Below are 13812 nucleotides of genomic sequence, written 5' to 3'. Positions count from 1 at the left end.
CAAATCCACTTCAAATAAAATAGAAAACCATGAAGACTCTATAGCTAATGTGATAGTGTGATTTATGCAAGAAGGACTCAATTCCTCATTCTTTTCCGTATCCATACCCTTTGCCATTGTTCTGGGTTGAGTAATGTCCTGCCAGAATTTATGTCTATATGGAGCCTCCAAATGTAACTTTATTTGGAAATAGGGCCTTTGTGGTTGCAGCTAGTTAAGATGAAGTCATCCTGGATTAGGGTGGTCTCTAATCCAGTGACTGATGTCCTTATACCATGAGAAAACAGAGATGCAGACACATAGGGAGAACATCATATGATGATGGAGGCAGGCATTGGAGTGATGTGTCTACAAGTCAAAAAACACCAGGGATTACAGGAAACCACTGTAAATTTGGAGAGAAGTAGATTCTTCTCACAGACCCCAGAAGGAACCAACCCTACTGACACATTGATTTTGGACTTCTAGCCTCCAGAACTGGGACAGAAGAAGTCTCTATTGTTTTAAGTCACCCAGTTTGTAGTAATTGTTTTGGCAACCCCAGGAGACTAACACAGCCATAGACTTTGCAGTGCCCTCCCACTGACTCTGGGCTCAGCCATGTGACTTTCTTCAGTTAGTGGATGTTGCAGAAGGTTGAAAAAAGTATTTGCGTGACTGGACTTGCCTTTGCTTTTGTGCCTCTTCTCTTGCTTAGAAACATGCCCAGGCTAGCCTGCCGGAGGATAAGAGAACTAGGAGCAGATCTAAGTTGCCTGGTCATCTTCCTTTGGGGCATCCTAGATAAGCTAGCAACTGAGCCTCCCTCAAACATGTGAGTGAGCCCAGATAGATCACTAAAACTACCCAGCCAAAATCCAGTTGACTTCAGACCTGTGATCAACAAATGCTTTTTGGTTTTTGTGCCATTAGGGCTTTGTGATCATTTGATACTCAGCATCATTGTGACAGTAAATCATTGATACGGAGAATGATGACAGGAGTGAGGTGACCAGGACAACTAAGGCCTCTCTACGGAACTCAGATTGCAAACCCTGCACTAACTGGGTTTTGAGCTCTCATCAGTTTTGACCTTTTTTCACTACCTAGGATACTGTAGTTTGCCTAATATACTTTCTAAAAGGTCAAATTTTTAGGAGTTCACTTTTTGGAGCCAGACCAATTAGACTAGAATCATGATACCACCATTTATTACTGACTATAAACTATGCACAAGTGGTTCAGCCTCATTAAGCCTCAATGTACTCATCCCTCAAATGGGGGAAAATTATACTGAAGTCACAGATCTACTGTGGGAAGTAAAGAGAATGATGCATCAGTAGTTAGCCTGGTTCTTCTCTACCCTCACCCCATGCCAAAGACTGAAGATCACATAGTTCTTTTGCAGAGTAATACATTGACAGTGGCTTTTGTTCCCCTTCTGTTCTTGAAACATCATACACATACTGCAAATATCCATTTACTGAATTTACTGACTGTGAAAGTTAAATGTTTTGTTCCATATACAAATATATTCTAGATACACATATATAATATATATGGACACACATATATGTGTATATTAACTTGTGTATACACACATATATTTAACAATGTTTACAATACTTCTTAATATATAATATTTCCCTGGTTTTAAGAAGGGAAATATTAAGAAGAAATAGAGCCTCTGAGGTATACAGTGATTTGCTCAGAACCACCCATCTTTAAACTCCAAATCCAGCTCTGTTTAGACAAAGTCCAGGAGCTTTCTGCTATATGGTCTGCCTCTTGATTTTTAAATTAAAGGTAATCTTGAGGTGCTAGCAGGTGGCCATTTTTGAAATAAAGCTGAAGATATTTTACTTTGCCTTTCTTGGCCTGGAGAATTTCACCCCCTTAAAGTCGCAGCAGTCGGGACTCTTGGAAGGCCACGTTGAGGAATGAGTGAGCTTTGGGAAGGTGGCCACGAGGTGGCAGTGGTGCACACCCACAGCAGAGGTAATCCTTGTTGTGAGCCAGGGTCTGTGAACGAGATGCTGGATAACCTTGTATACCACCTTGCTGGCTATCAGCATTGAATCACGCTGAAAGAGCAAGGCTCTGGTGTTTTGATGCAGAACATTAATAACATAAGTGGATGAGAAACCTGAGAACTGAAAATGCCACTTTAGCCTCAAGCCCCAAGTGTGAGACCAGCTCACTGATTCCAAGGCTGCCATTGCCTGTAAGCAACCAAGATTAACTGTTCTGGGCCATCTGAGGATCACTTTCTAGCTCTGGCTATTGAATTGTTCTAATTTTAAAATAAAAATGAGCTGTGCAGAAAAACAAGGGCATCCACAGTTTGAAAGTGCATTCCTTCTCCCTTTGAGCAAGTTTCTCTCTGTTTTCCCTTCCTTCCTTTCCTTGACCACATGTAGACCTGCCATTCCTTGCCCCATGCTACTATTAGTACAGCTAAAACTGGGGTGTGCACACTCTGTGCAAAAATATGCATGCACAGGGTCTTTTGAATGCCTTCCCGCCCTCCTCTTCTTACCTCTCAGGTGCAGCTTTCCTATAGTAACCGCTGAAGGGAAGCACAATGTAGTGGCTGAGCCATTTCAACCACAACCTGACTGCTTAATGCTTCTTATTTAAGGCTGTCCCTCCTGAGTACAGGGCCTTAGCAACAACATAATTGGCCAACATTTGGGATAGTTTGGTTTGGTGAGTTTGAGTTAATGTATCCCAGTGTTTCAGACTGTAATACGAATGCTAGAACAGTTGTTTCTTTGGGGAAGTTTTGTGTGTTATAACAAAAGGAGTCCGTTATCAAATCCGTTTGGGGAATTCCATAAGTGGTGCTTTGTGTTGTACCTTCTGGACTTCTCAAAACTATTAATTTGCTCTTGTACAATGGCAATCTTTAACCCATTTATGCCTGAGTTTGCAATTTTTTGAATTTTTACAATCAGACCTTGGCGATGACCTTGAGCAGTAGGAAATAAATAACTCCCACATGCTTAGCATTCCAATAATGGAACACTAGGCATAAATGGGATCAAGAAGCAGACATAATAGCAGTGACCACAGAACTACTACCTCACCCCTGCCTTTATGATTTTTCCTTAGGAATCTTAGTGGTATCCCCCAGAACCCTAGGGTTTCTCTAAGAGTCGTGTAAGAAATGTAGGCCTAACTTATTGCTTGTTGTATCATTTTCTATTGCTGCATAATAAACCACCCCTCACAAAGTGGCATAAAAGAACAACCATTATATGACACTCAAGATGCTGTGGGTCAGGAATTTGAAAAGGGCACAGCAGGGTCAAGTTGTCTCTGTCCCATGATGTCTGGATGCTGAGCTGGAAAGACTCTGACTCTCTGGGTGACTTGCTGGCTGGCATCATCTGGAGCCTCTTTCCCTCATATGTCTGGAGGAGCTGGGAGCTCAGCTGGGGCTGTTGGTGGGACACTTACACATGGCAGCACCTTGTGACTGTTGGGCTTCTACACAGCATGGTGGCTGGAATCCAAGAGTGAGTATCTTGAGAGACCCAGACAGAAGTTGTATCACCTTTTATGATCTTGCCTTGGAAGTCACATAGTATACTCCATCTGTAGTCACAAGCTTACCCAGATTCAAGGGGAAGGAACATAAGTCACGCCTCTCAATGGGAAAATTGTCAATGTCACCTTGTAAGAAGCACATGTGGCATGGGAGATGTTGTGGCAATTTTTGGGAAATGCAGTCTGGTACACTTACCCACACTTTATCTTTAGAAAGCTGTGGATGAGCAACTGGAGGGATAGGTGGGATTCATATCTCTGTAATATCAAGCATTCCCTATATATAGTTATGTCTTGAAGGATGTATTATTATGGAACATTAGAACCAGAAGAAAGGTTATATAGTCCTACTGTCCATAAAGTATAACTTTAATTTCTGAAAGGAGGCTGCACAGCCAGGCCCTGAGGATATCAAAACATACAAAGTTTTTAAACTTGTTTTTAAGGAGCTCACTGTCTATCAGGGGAGGCTGATTTGTAAAGAAAGTAAATACAAATACAGAGCTAGCACTTTGGAGTGAGCCAAAGAAAGTTTCAAAAAGATGGTGAAGTATGAACTGGAATTTGAAGAATGAAATGATCTCTTGAGTTTTCTGAGTTTTTTTAAGACAAGATAGAGCAGGGAAAGGCATATCACTCTATAGAGACTTATGTGAGAAGGCAGGGGTTGGGGAGTGAATCTGCACCTGTGTTTTAGGAAATCCAAGTGATTTATAAATCAAGTGCAGGTGGTGAGTAAAAAGAATGCAAACTGAAGAAGGCTTGTTCATCATCAGACTAAGGAATTTGAATTTTACCCTATAGCCCACAGAAAACCAGGTAAGGATTTTGAACAGAGAAATGACAAGGTTACGGTTTGGTTTTAGAAAGTGCCTCTGCCACAGCATGAAGGAGAGATTATCGATTGGAATGGCCAGAGCAAGAGATGTGATTAAGAAGCTATTGTCATGATTGAATGGAGAAATGATGAACCCTTGAACTAGGAAGTTGGCAGTAGGAATGGAGTGGAGGGAAAGTGGACTTGGATAATATTTAAGACAATGTATAAATTAATGTGTGTAAAGCACTTGAAATGAGGCCTGGTATGTAGAAGCACTCAGAAAGTATAAGTTACTGCTGTTATTATTATTCAGTGTTTTTGTAGCACCTGGATTTTCTTAGGACTGGTGGTGGGGATGAGGAGAAGACAGTGTCTAAGATGATACCATGTTTCTGATTTGGTCATGAGGAGCAGTCAGTAGCTTTCCCAACATAGATAATAAAGGAGGAGCTAGTTTGAGGAGCCATATAATGAGTTTAGTTTCAGACATGCGGATTTTGATGTCTCTGTAATCCCACAGAGACAAATGTTAGTAGTTTGTTGGAAATACAGGTCTGGAGAACAAGGGAAATGTTTGGGCTTGACCTAAGGATTTGGTTATCATTAGTGATTGCCAGTACAATTGAAACAAAGCACATTTCATTAATCAAATATTTTAGGACATTTGTCTTATCCTGCTCATTTTTTTTCCACAATTACTCATGTGGTGCAAAGACACTGTAGTTTCTCAATATTCCTTTAAAAACAAACTTTCAATATACCTCTTAAAATATGATAATATTATTTAGAAGGGACCCTGGCATAATTTTAACCTTAACACCCTTGAATATGAAATACTACTATAAGCTCTATTTTAATAGAATTCCATTGCTCTTTGCAAATGGAAAAAACAGCAACCTAGGTTTCTGTTTTTTGTTTTTATGCATTATTATGACTACAGGTTCTGATGACTTTGGTTACATTGCTTTGGGTTTAAGGCAGTTTTATTAAACTATAATTTATGCTTTGTTAATATAAATTGTGCTTTGCTAAAGAAATTTTATCCAGCTAATCAATGAAACATTGCTGGGAGTAATGCTAGGTATGGACAGATTAGGTGAAAGCAAGCTAAGAGTTTCCAAAATCCTATTTTATCCAAAATGTCTGCAAAGCCTGCCATTGGGCTGAGTAGAAAAAAAAAAAAAAATCTTTGTTTTCGGATAAGGTCCTTAGGCAGAATTGGCAAATACGTGACATATATACTGTGACACACTCCAACTCCTCTTTCATATCTAGACAGGAACTATAGATCCTAGAGGTGGCTTCCAAATCTGTCTTAAAGCATGCCCCTGGTAGCCACCAACTGATTAGTAGGTACTTGTAATAACACCAATATTTCTTTCCATCAAAGCTAATGTCTTCATAAGGTTCCTATAAAAATATTTGAAATATTTGAAAGAATATTTAACTTTAATATTTGTCCCTGCCAACATGTTAGTGAGAATTATTTTCACAGTTGTTAGATATCACTGACACAGACAATTAGAAAATGATTCAGAGCAGCACTTGTCCTATCCTTGAACCTGTTCTCCCTAGTATCTTTGCCAAATTCTTGGAGGAGACAAAATAAAATTAAGCTAATAGTTTCTCAGGAGATGAACCTGAGATGAACACTTAATCATAAGATCTTCCCACATTTTATAAGCTAGAATAAAAAACAGCAAGATAAAAGCTAACAAGATAAGAGTGAGTAGAAAAAAATGTAAAGTTCTGCCAAAACTTTCAACAAACCAATGATACAAGCCCAAGATGGAAGTGGGGAGGGAGGTTTAACAGATATTTCTAAGGAAAAGTGCAGCTAATGGCTTGATTTCACAAACTGATGTCTTTAAAAACACTGTGTTAATAGGAGCTAGTATTGCCCAAAGCCTGTTCTAAATGAAGTGTCCATAGCAAAAAGTTTTGGAAAATGCTTAGTTCAATAAAATTCAACAGGTTTCTTTATTGCAGGACTTCTCAGAACCCAAAATATACTAACATACATTGCAACTCTAGAGGAGGAACAACATTTTCCAAATGTATTTAATTATGACCCTTTTTCCCTACAGGGAGAATGTACCACTCACGTGGCAAACTCCTGGAAATGCTGATCTAGGTGTTTAGTTGACTGAAGTTCAGTTTTAGCTAATGATATGGCATATTGGTAAGGTGGAGTGCACTTGATGTTCTCTCATTCCACCAAAAGTATAATGTATAAAGGTAGAAGATAATGCTACTCTATTTTAACTGATTAGGCTATTTATTTATCAGACACATACACAATGTTTATTCTGTGTCATGCATACTATAATAATGCTATTAATTATCCCATTTTGTGGATGAGGAAATCTAAACAAGAATGACTTTGTAACACGGCAAAAGTCACACATCTAGCAAGTGGCAGAACTAGGATCCCGACCTGACCAATTGGTTCTGATATGGTTTGGCTGTGTCCCCACCCAAATCTCATCTTGAACTGTAGCTCCCATAATTCCCACATGTGGGAAGGACCTAGTCGGAAATAATTAAATCATGGAGGCAGTTTTCCACATACTGTTCTCATGGTAGTGAATACGTCTCGTGAAACTTGATGGTTTTTAAAGGGGTTTCTCCTTTCATTTGGCTCTAATTCTCTTGCCTGCCGCTATGCAAGATGTCTCTTGCTCTTCTGCCATGATTGTGAGGCCTCCCTAGCCATGTGGAACTGTGAGTCAATTAAACCTCTTTCCTTTATAAATTACCCAGTCTTGGGTATGTCTTTATTAGCAGCATGAGAACAGACTTATACAGGTCCCCAGGGTCTGTATGCTTACCTACCACAGCTGGAAAGATGCTTCCCACCTTGAGAGCCACACTTAGCCACCCTAGTGAAACCAAAGTGTCAACAGTATCACATATGAAGTAGCAGGAGATGCTAAAGAATGAGGACATGCCAGTGGCAGAACATATCTGTGGTTAGCCTTAAGTTTAATATCAAGTTGCCAGTGAGAACAATGTCAAACATCTCTAAGAGATCAACTGATTCTCACTGTGTTAAAGGAACTCTAGAAACATTACTGGAGTGTGAATGAAAAAGAACAGCAGCTTCTGAGAGGTGTGCTCATGTGATTGCCATTTACAAACTCCCAGGACTCCTTAGCACATTAGCTTAACAGCTAACATTTTGGCCTTACTGTTTTTCAAACAGCTTTCTGTAGAGAAGCAAACTCATCTATTTCTTTCAGATGACAAGGGCAGGATGTGTGTTCCAAGCCAGGGCTCCTTTTCTAATTGGCAATGCCTTGTAGAAGTTTAAAAGTGTGAGTGCCCTTTGACTCTGTAAATTACTTTAAGAATTTAAGACAGTTATGAAGATATTCAAGAATAGTCACTGTAATTTTGGCTGTAATAAATGGGGGGAAAAGGCCATGTTTAACATTTGGTTACAGAAATTACAGTATGTCGATACAGAAAAATACTTTGTTGTCACCAAAAATAATATTATAGAAGGATGAATGTATGAGATGTTCATGACAAATTAGGAGAGATGTGAGGTTACAAACAGTATGTACAATTGAACCTATTTTTTTAGGATCCTAGCCTATATCTATATACATATGTAAGTTTATATATGTATAAACCTGCACATATATAAGTATATATGTATATAGATAATATAATTTAATATGGAAGGTCATATTAAATACTAAATTTTCTCTAGAGCAGGACTGCCCACTAGAATTTCCAGTGATGATAGAAATGGTCTATCTTTGTTGCCTGATGCAGTAGCCATGAGCCACATGTAGCTATTGAGTACTTGAAATGTGGCTAGTGTGACTGAGGCACTGGATTTTTAATTTTTAACAATGAATTTAAATTTAAATAGCTATAGAGAGCAAATGGTTACCTTATTGTATTGCACAGTTCTAAAAATTAATAGTCTTTTATGCATTTGTATCTTCTAAATAGTCTAAAATTTTGTAATAATTTTTTAAAGACAAAAATTCCACTGTCTATCAAAATGAATTTTCAATCTGGTTAAGGCAGGAAGGGACAAAGAGGATTTCCAAGGTCAGAGGGATAGAGTTAAGAAACCCACTGGATAGAAGGTTGGGGTATATTTGAGAGTATTCCAATAAATAACAGCTTTCTTCCCAATCTGAGTTCTGAGCCAAATGAGAAACCAGAGAAAAGATTAAGCATGGATTACTACACAGCTATAAAAAATGAGATCATGGCCTTTGCAACAACATGGGTGGAGCTGGAGGCCATAATCCTAAGTGAATTAACACAGGAACAGAAAACCAAATACTGTATGTTTTCAATTATAAGTGGGGGCTAAACATTGAGTACACATGGATGTAAAGAAGAGATACATAGACACTGGGGCCTGTTGAGGGTAGAGATCAGGAGGAGGGTAAGGATTGAACAACTACCTGTTGAGTAGTATGCTGAGTACCTGAGTGACAAAATGATCTGTACACCAAACCTCAGTGACATGCAATTTACTCGTGTAACAAACCTGCACATGTACTCATTGAAACTGAAATAAAAGTTAAAAAGAAAAGACAATGGATTAAGCAAATGGAACCAAAATGTTATCTTTATTACAGTTAAAGCTGATATTGAATCTATATTTATAAAGCTATGTGCAAATGGGCATATGTCCCTGTGTAGAGAGACTTACCATGTGGTCACAGGCAGTGTGGGTCTCTGAAGCCACATCCATGGTCAGTGGGACCATGAAGGCCATGTTTCCTGGATGGTTGAGGGCAGTGAAGAACACATATTCTCTGCATATGGGCCACCTTCCAAGAAGAGGGGAGACAAGGAACAGGGCTAGAAATGTATAAGCAGGGATATCACTCTTCTTCCTTGGTAGACAAGCAAAGAGGCCAAAGAAGTTCAGAAGCATTATGCCAGCAGATCTCCCACCACAGGAAAGGAATATCAGGAGTAGGAAGAACATTCCCTACTCCCTTTCCTGACCCTCCCCCAGTGTTAAGAAGATTTAGGTTGGAGGGCATTAGTTGGTTTCCAGATGCTTGTCATAGAGCAAATGAGGCCATAACCAGGGAACAATACAGTCTTGACCAAGATAGAATGATTAAAAAATGAATGGGTCTCTCCTTTTCTAAAAATGACTCTTTATTTCTTTGAGTTAGAGTAAAATAGGTTAAAATATTTGTAGGTTAAAGATGGAATAAATTATATCCCCCAAATTTAGCCTCCTTAAAGTAAGCAGGGTTACCCCAAAAATGTGATCTCATAGCACATAAAATGCTTCCAAAGAAATGAATAATGGATCCAAATGTAAGAGCTAAAACTATAAAATTTCTAGAAGAAAATATAGAGAAAAATTTTTTGTGAACTTGGGTTAGACAAAGATTTCTTACATAGCACACAAAAGCAAACAATAACCAAAAAAATAGAAATGTAGTTTTCTTCAAAATTTAAAATGTTTTCTGTTTAAAGATTCCATTAAGAAATAAAAACACAAGCCACAGACTGGGAGAAAATATTTGTAAACCATATATTTGATGAAGAACATGTATTAACAACATATTATAACAATAAAAAGACTGGGCGCAGTGGCTCATCCATGTAATCCCAGCACTTTGGGAGGCTGAGGCAGGTGGATCACCTGAGGTCAGGAGTTCGAGACCAGCCTGGCTGACATGGTGAAATCTTATCTCTACTAAAAACACAAAAAATTAGCCGGGTGTGGTGGCAGGCGCCTATAATCCCAGCTACTGAGGAGGCTGGGGCAGGAGAATTGCTTGAACCCAGGAGGCAGATGTTACGGTTACAGTGAGCTGAGGTCACGCCATTGCACTCTGGCCTGGGCAACAAAAGTGGAACTCCGTCTCAAAACAAAACAAACAAACAAACAAAAAAATAGAATATGGGAAACAGATTTAAATAGATTTTTTTCAAAGAAGCACACTAAAGCAAATAAAGAATCTTCATCATTCATCAATAGGAAAATGCAATTTAGAACCATGATGAAATACCACAGTACACCTACTTGGAATGGATAAAATTGAAAAGACAGAAAATACTCAGTGTTGATGAGAATGTAGAGAAACCGGAACTCTTATTCACTTCTGGTAAGAATGTAAAATGGTACAGCCACTTTAGAAAACAGTTTGACAGTCTCTTTAAAAAGTTAAACATGCCTTTACATAAGCATCCACTTACCTAGATATTTACCCAGCAGAAATATAAACATATGCCCACAAAATGGCTTTTATGTAAATGTTCACAGCAGAATTATTCATAATAGCCCCAAACTGGAAACATCCAAAATGATCATCTACTGGTGAATGGATAAACAAAATGTGGCACATATACATAATTATATATATTTATAAAATGTGGCATATATAATTCTTTATGTATATATAAAATGTGATAAACAAAATGTGGCATACACACACCCCCACATATACACACACCCCCACATATACACACACACTGGAATATTACCCAGCCATAAAAGGAATTAACTAGTGACACACACAACATAGATGAATCTCAGAAAAAATCATACCAAGTGAAGGAAGCCAGACAAAAAAGACATTTTGTTTAATTTCATTTATGAGAAATTTCCAGGAAAGGCAAAGGTATCCTTATAGAAAGTAAATCTTTACTCTTATGGAAAGTAATAATTATAGTGTTTGCTTTGGCAAAGGGTAGGAGTGTGGTTTGACTGAAAAGGAACATTACAGAACTTTTTAAGGTGATGTAAGTATGCTAAAATTCTATTGTGGTGATAATTGCATGACTATATACATTTACAAAAACTCACTGAATTGCTCATTTGAAATGGATGGATTTTATGGTGGCTTCAAAAATTCTGTTTTATTTTTGTAATTTTTTAAGCTACCATGAGGTTTGTTTGGCGTTCCCTTTTCAGGATGCTAGGATTGGTTTCTCCAATTGTACTCTTGCACTACTCCAATCTATTCTCAACACAGAAACCAGAGATATTTTTAAAACAGAAGTCAGTTTGTGTCCTTCTTTGCTGAAAAACTCCCGTGGTTTTCTACTAATTTAAAAAATTCCAAACCCTTTACTATGGCTTACAAGGTCCTCTATGATCTAGCTTCTTCCTCTGTCTCTGACTCAACTTCTCTCATTATATTGCAGTGATATCAGGCTTTTAATTGTTTCTCAGACACACCCAGGTTATTTCTGCCATAGGTCCTTCACACTTGCTATTTCTTCTGCCTGGATTACTCTGACACCAGAGTTTCATGGCTATTTTCTTTTCACTTAGTTCAAATACCATCTTCTCATAAGACCTTTTCTTGACCAACAGCCTAAATAATCTTCCCCACAAAATCAGTCTCTGTTTTAGGTATCCATTTTGGTGTAACCAACCCACAATAAAGTGGCTTATAACAATTTATTATTGTGGGTTTACGGGGCTCAGCTGGGTGATTCTTCTGCTCCTCATAGTATAGGCAGCTGAATTCAACTAAGAGCTTTTTGGAGTGTTGATGTCCTCCACATGGCCTCTTGGGAGTTTGTCTTGAGCGTCTTCACAGCACAGCAGCTGAGTTCCGAGAGAGAGATTTCTCTTAACACCTGGTTGGAAAATTCTAGAGTGTCACTTCTGCTACATTTTATTGGTCAAAGTAAGTCTCAAGACCCACCCAGATTCAAGGGGAAAGAAGATAACTTTGCTTATTCAGAGGAAGGAGATGCATGTACAGGGATGTGAGGAATTATTTTGCTGCAATATTTTCAAGCAACCCAGGAAGGTCTCTATTGCAAAGTGTTTTTTTTTTCTCAGCATTCATAACTATCAGATACTTTATTGTATATTTCTCTGTTTGATGTTTTATTGTCACATTATCCTACTAGACTATAAACTCCATGAGAACTTAGCCTTTGTCTGGTTTGTTCACCATTATATTTCCAGCACCCAAAACGGTGCTGGCACATACTTGGTGCTAATGGGTGACTACTCGTTCCCCTTGAGTTTTGAGAGTGTCCTCCTCTTGAATAACTCCCTTGCTTCTCTCTACTTCTCACTTACTTCTCCCCATGAGAAGTGAAATGACTTTTCTGATTGGGTTCTGCTGAAATGAACTGATAATGTTCATCTCGGACTCTTTTCTCTCCCCTTCTCAGAGCTACCCAGTCATCTGCATTCTAGTCTTCCTTCTGCCATGTGGTAAGGGGTCTGGCCCTATCAGTATGATCTGCAGTTCCCCAGTTAGGCAATGACCAGATCATTGTCTGTTTACTTCAGCAAAGTATTAAGACTTTGTCACAGATATAAATTTACATTTTCTAATAAGCTTTATCAATAATAAAAGTGAGGTTTGGATTGCCTGATTCCTGTATTTATCTTTATATTGATTCTAGCCTTATAAGTGGAAGAGGGAGATATTATCTCTGAAACCCCAAACATGGGTATTTTATAAACTTTTGCAGATTGTACAGATGAATTTAGCCCATTGCCTCCTGATTAATTCCCTAACCATTCCCTTGTTTCTAGGTTTTCTTAGTTCCTCATGATTCTCATTCAGTTTCCATACCTGAGCTCCTTTGTCAGGACCTGAGAATGATGACCTATTTAGAGCATGATTTCCCAGCGCTAATCTTCATAACCCTCTGAAAAAAAGACTCTAGTATTTAAACTCTGATGACACACACAGTGCTCACTGGATTGAAGCATCTGCTATTTACACCTTGCTTAGTTTTATGGAACGAACCACTGGACCGTATCTTGCCAACCCTTTTCTTCCATCACAGTAGGTAAATTGGGTTAGGAGTCCTTCTGTAGTTGGTGGCCCCTTCTAAATTATCTCAAAAGTATTTAATGATCACCTATGTGAGCATCGTTATGTGTGGTATTGTAACTAACAATATTATTAGACAAATAGAGAACTAACCAGAATACATTTTACTTATTTGTACTTCTTGGCTTAACTCCTACAATATTGCATAAAACCCTAAAATTGTAAGATAACCCAATATACTATTCTCTCTGTTCAGGATTTGGACAACTTGGTTCATTAACTCTGGTTAATTTAATATTGCCATCTAAATCTCACAAAGATTACCAAATCTTTCTTACATGACCCATAAGAGTTAGGTGTTGTAATTATGACAATCAGTTATTTTCAGTAGGTATGCTGAAAACTGATTCTCTTATCAAGTTCATAAGCCAGAATTTGTATGTGATCTCCCAGCAAAAAGGAAAATAAAATAAAGTTATGGCTTTCTGATTGGTTGATTTCTGGGTGAATAGGAGTTTACAGTAGGTTTAAATTCCTTTGTTACCCATTTTATATTGTATTTTTCTTTTACCCTTCAATGAATTAAACACCTTAGGCACAAGTAATTAAAGTCCTTAATTCATATTAGAGCTAATTCTTCTTTAAATGCCAATCTATTAATAGCCCAATAGGGAATACACACTGGCCTGATTTATCTTAGAAGGTTAG

The 13812-nt window shown here is 38.2% G+C and overlaps 1 long non-coding RNA gene across 7 annotated transcripts in view, besides 1 other annotated feature; it reads left to right on the top strand.

Annotated features, from left to right (window-relative positions):
• The window catches only part of ARL14EP-DT (ARL14EP divergent transcript), a 279977-nt gene that overhangs the window by 124201 nt on the left and 141964 nt on the right, over positions 1–13812 (top strand). The gene's annotated exons all lie outside the window — the stretch shown is intronic.
• Positions 229–1428: an enhancer, noted in NCBI's record as "BRD4-independent group 4 enhancer chr11:30218865-30220064 (GRCh37/hg19 assembly coordinates)". NCBI's record gives its function as "activates an origin of replication core promoter dependent on BRD2, P300/CBP, MED14 and CDK7 cofactors, and independent of BRD4, by STARR-seq in HCT116 cells {active_cell/tissue: HCT116}" and the evidence as "EXISTENCE:reporter gene assay evidence [ECO:0000049][PMID:35650434]".

Source organism: Homo sapiens, chromosome 11, assembly GCF_000001405.40.
Source record: "Homo sapiens chromosome 11, GRCh38.p14 Primary Assembly".
In the NCBI taxonomy this organism is placed as follows: domain Eukaryota; kingdom Metazoa; phylum Chordata; class Mammalia; order Primates; family Hominidae; genus Homo; species Homo sapiens.
The sequence above is the reverse complement of the archived record's forward strand: the minus strand, read 5'-3'. Positions and strand labels throughout refer to the sequence as shown.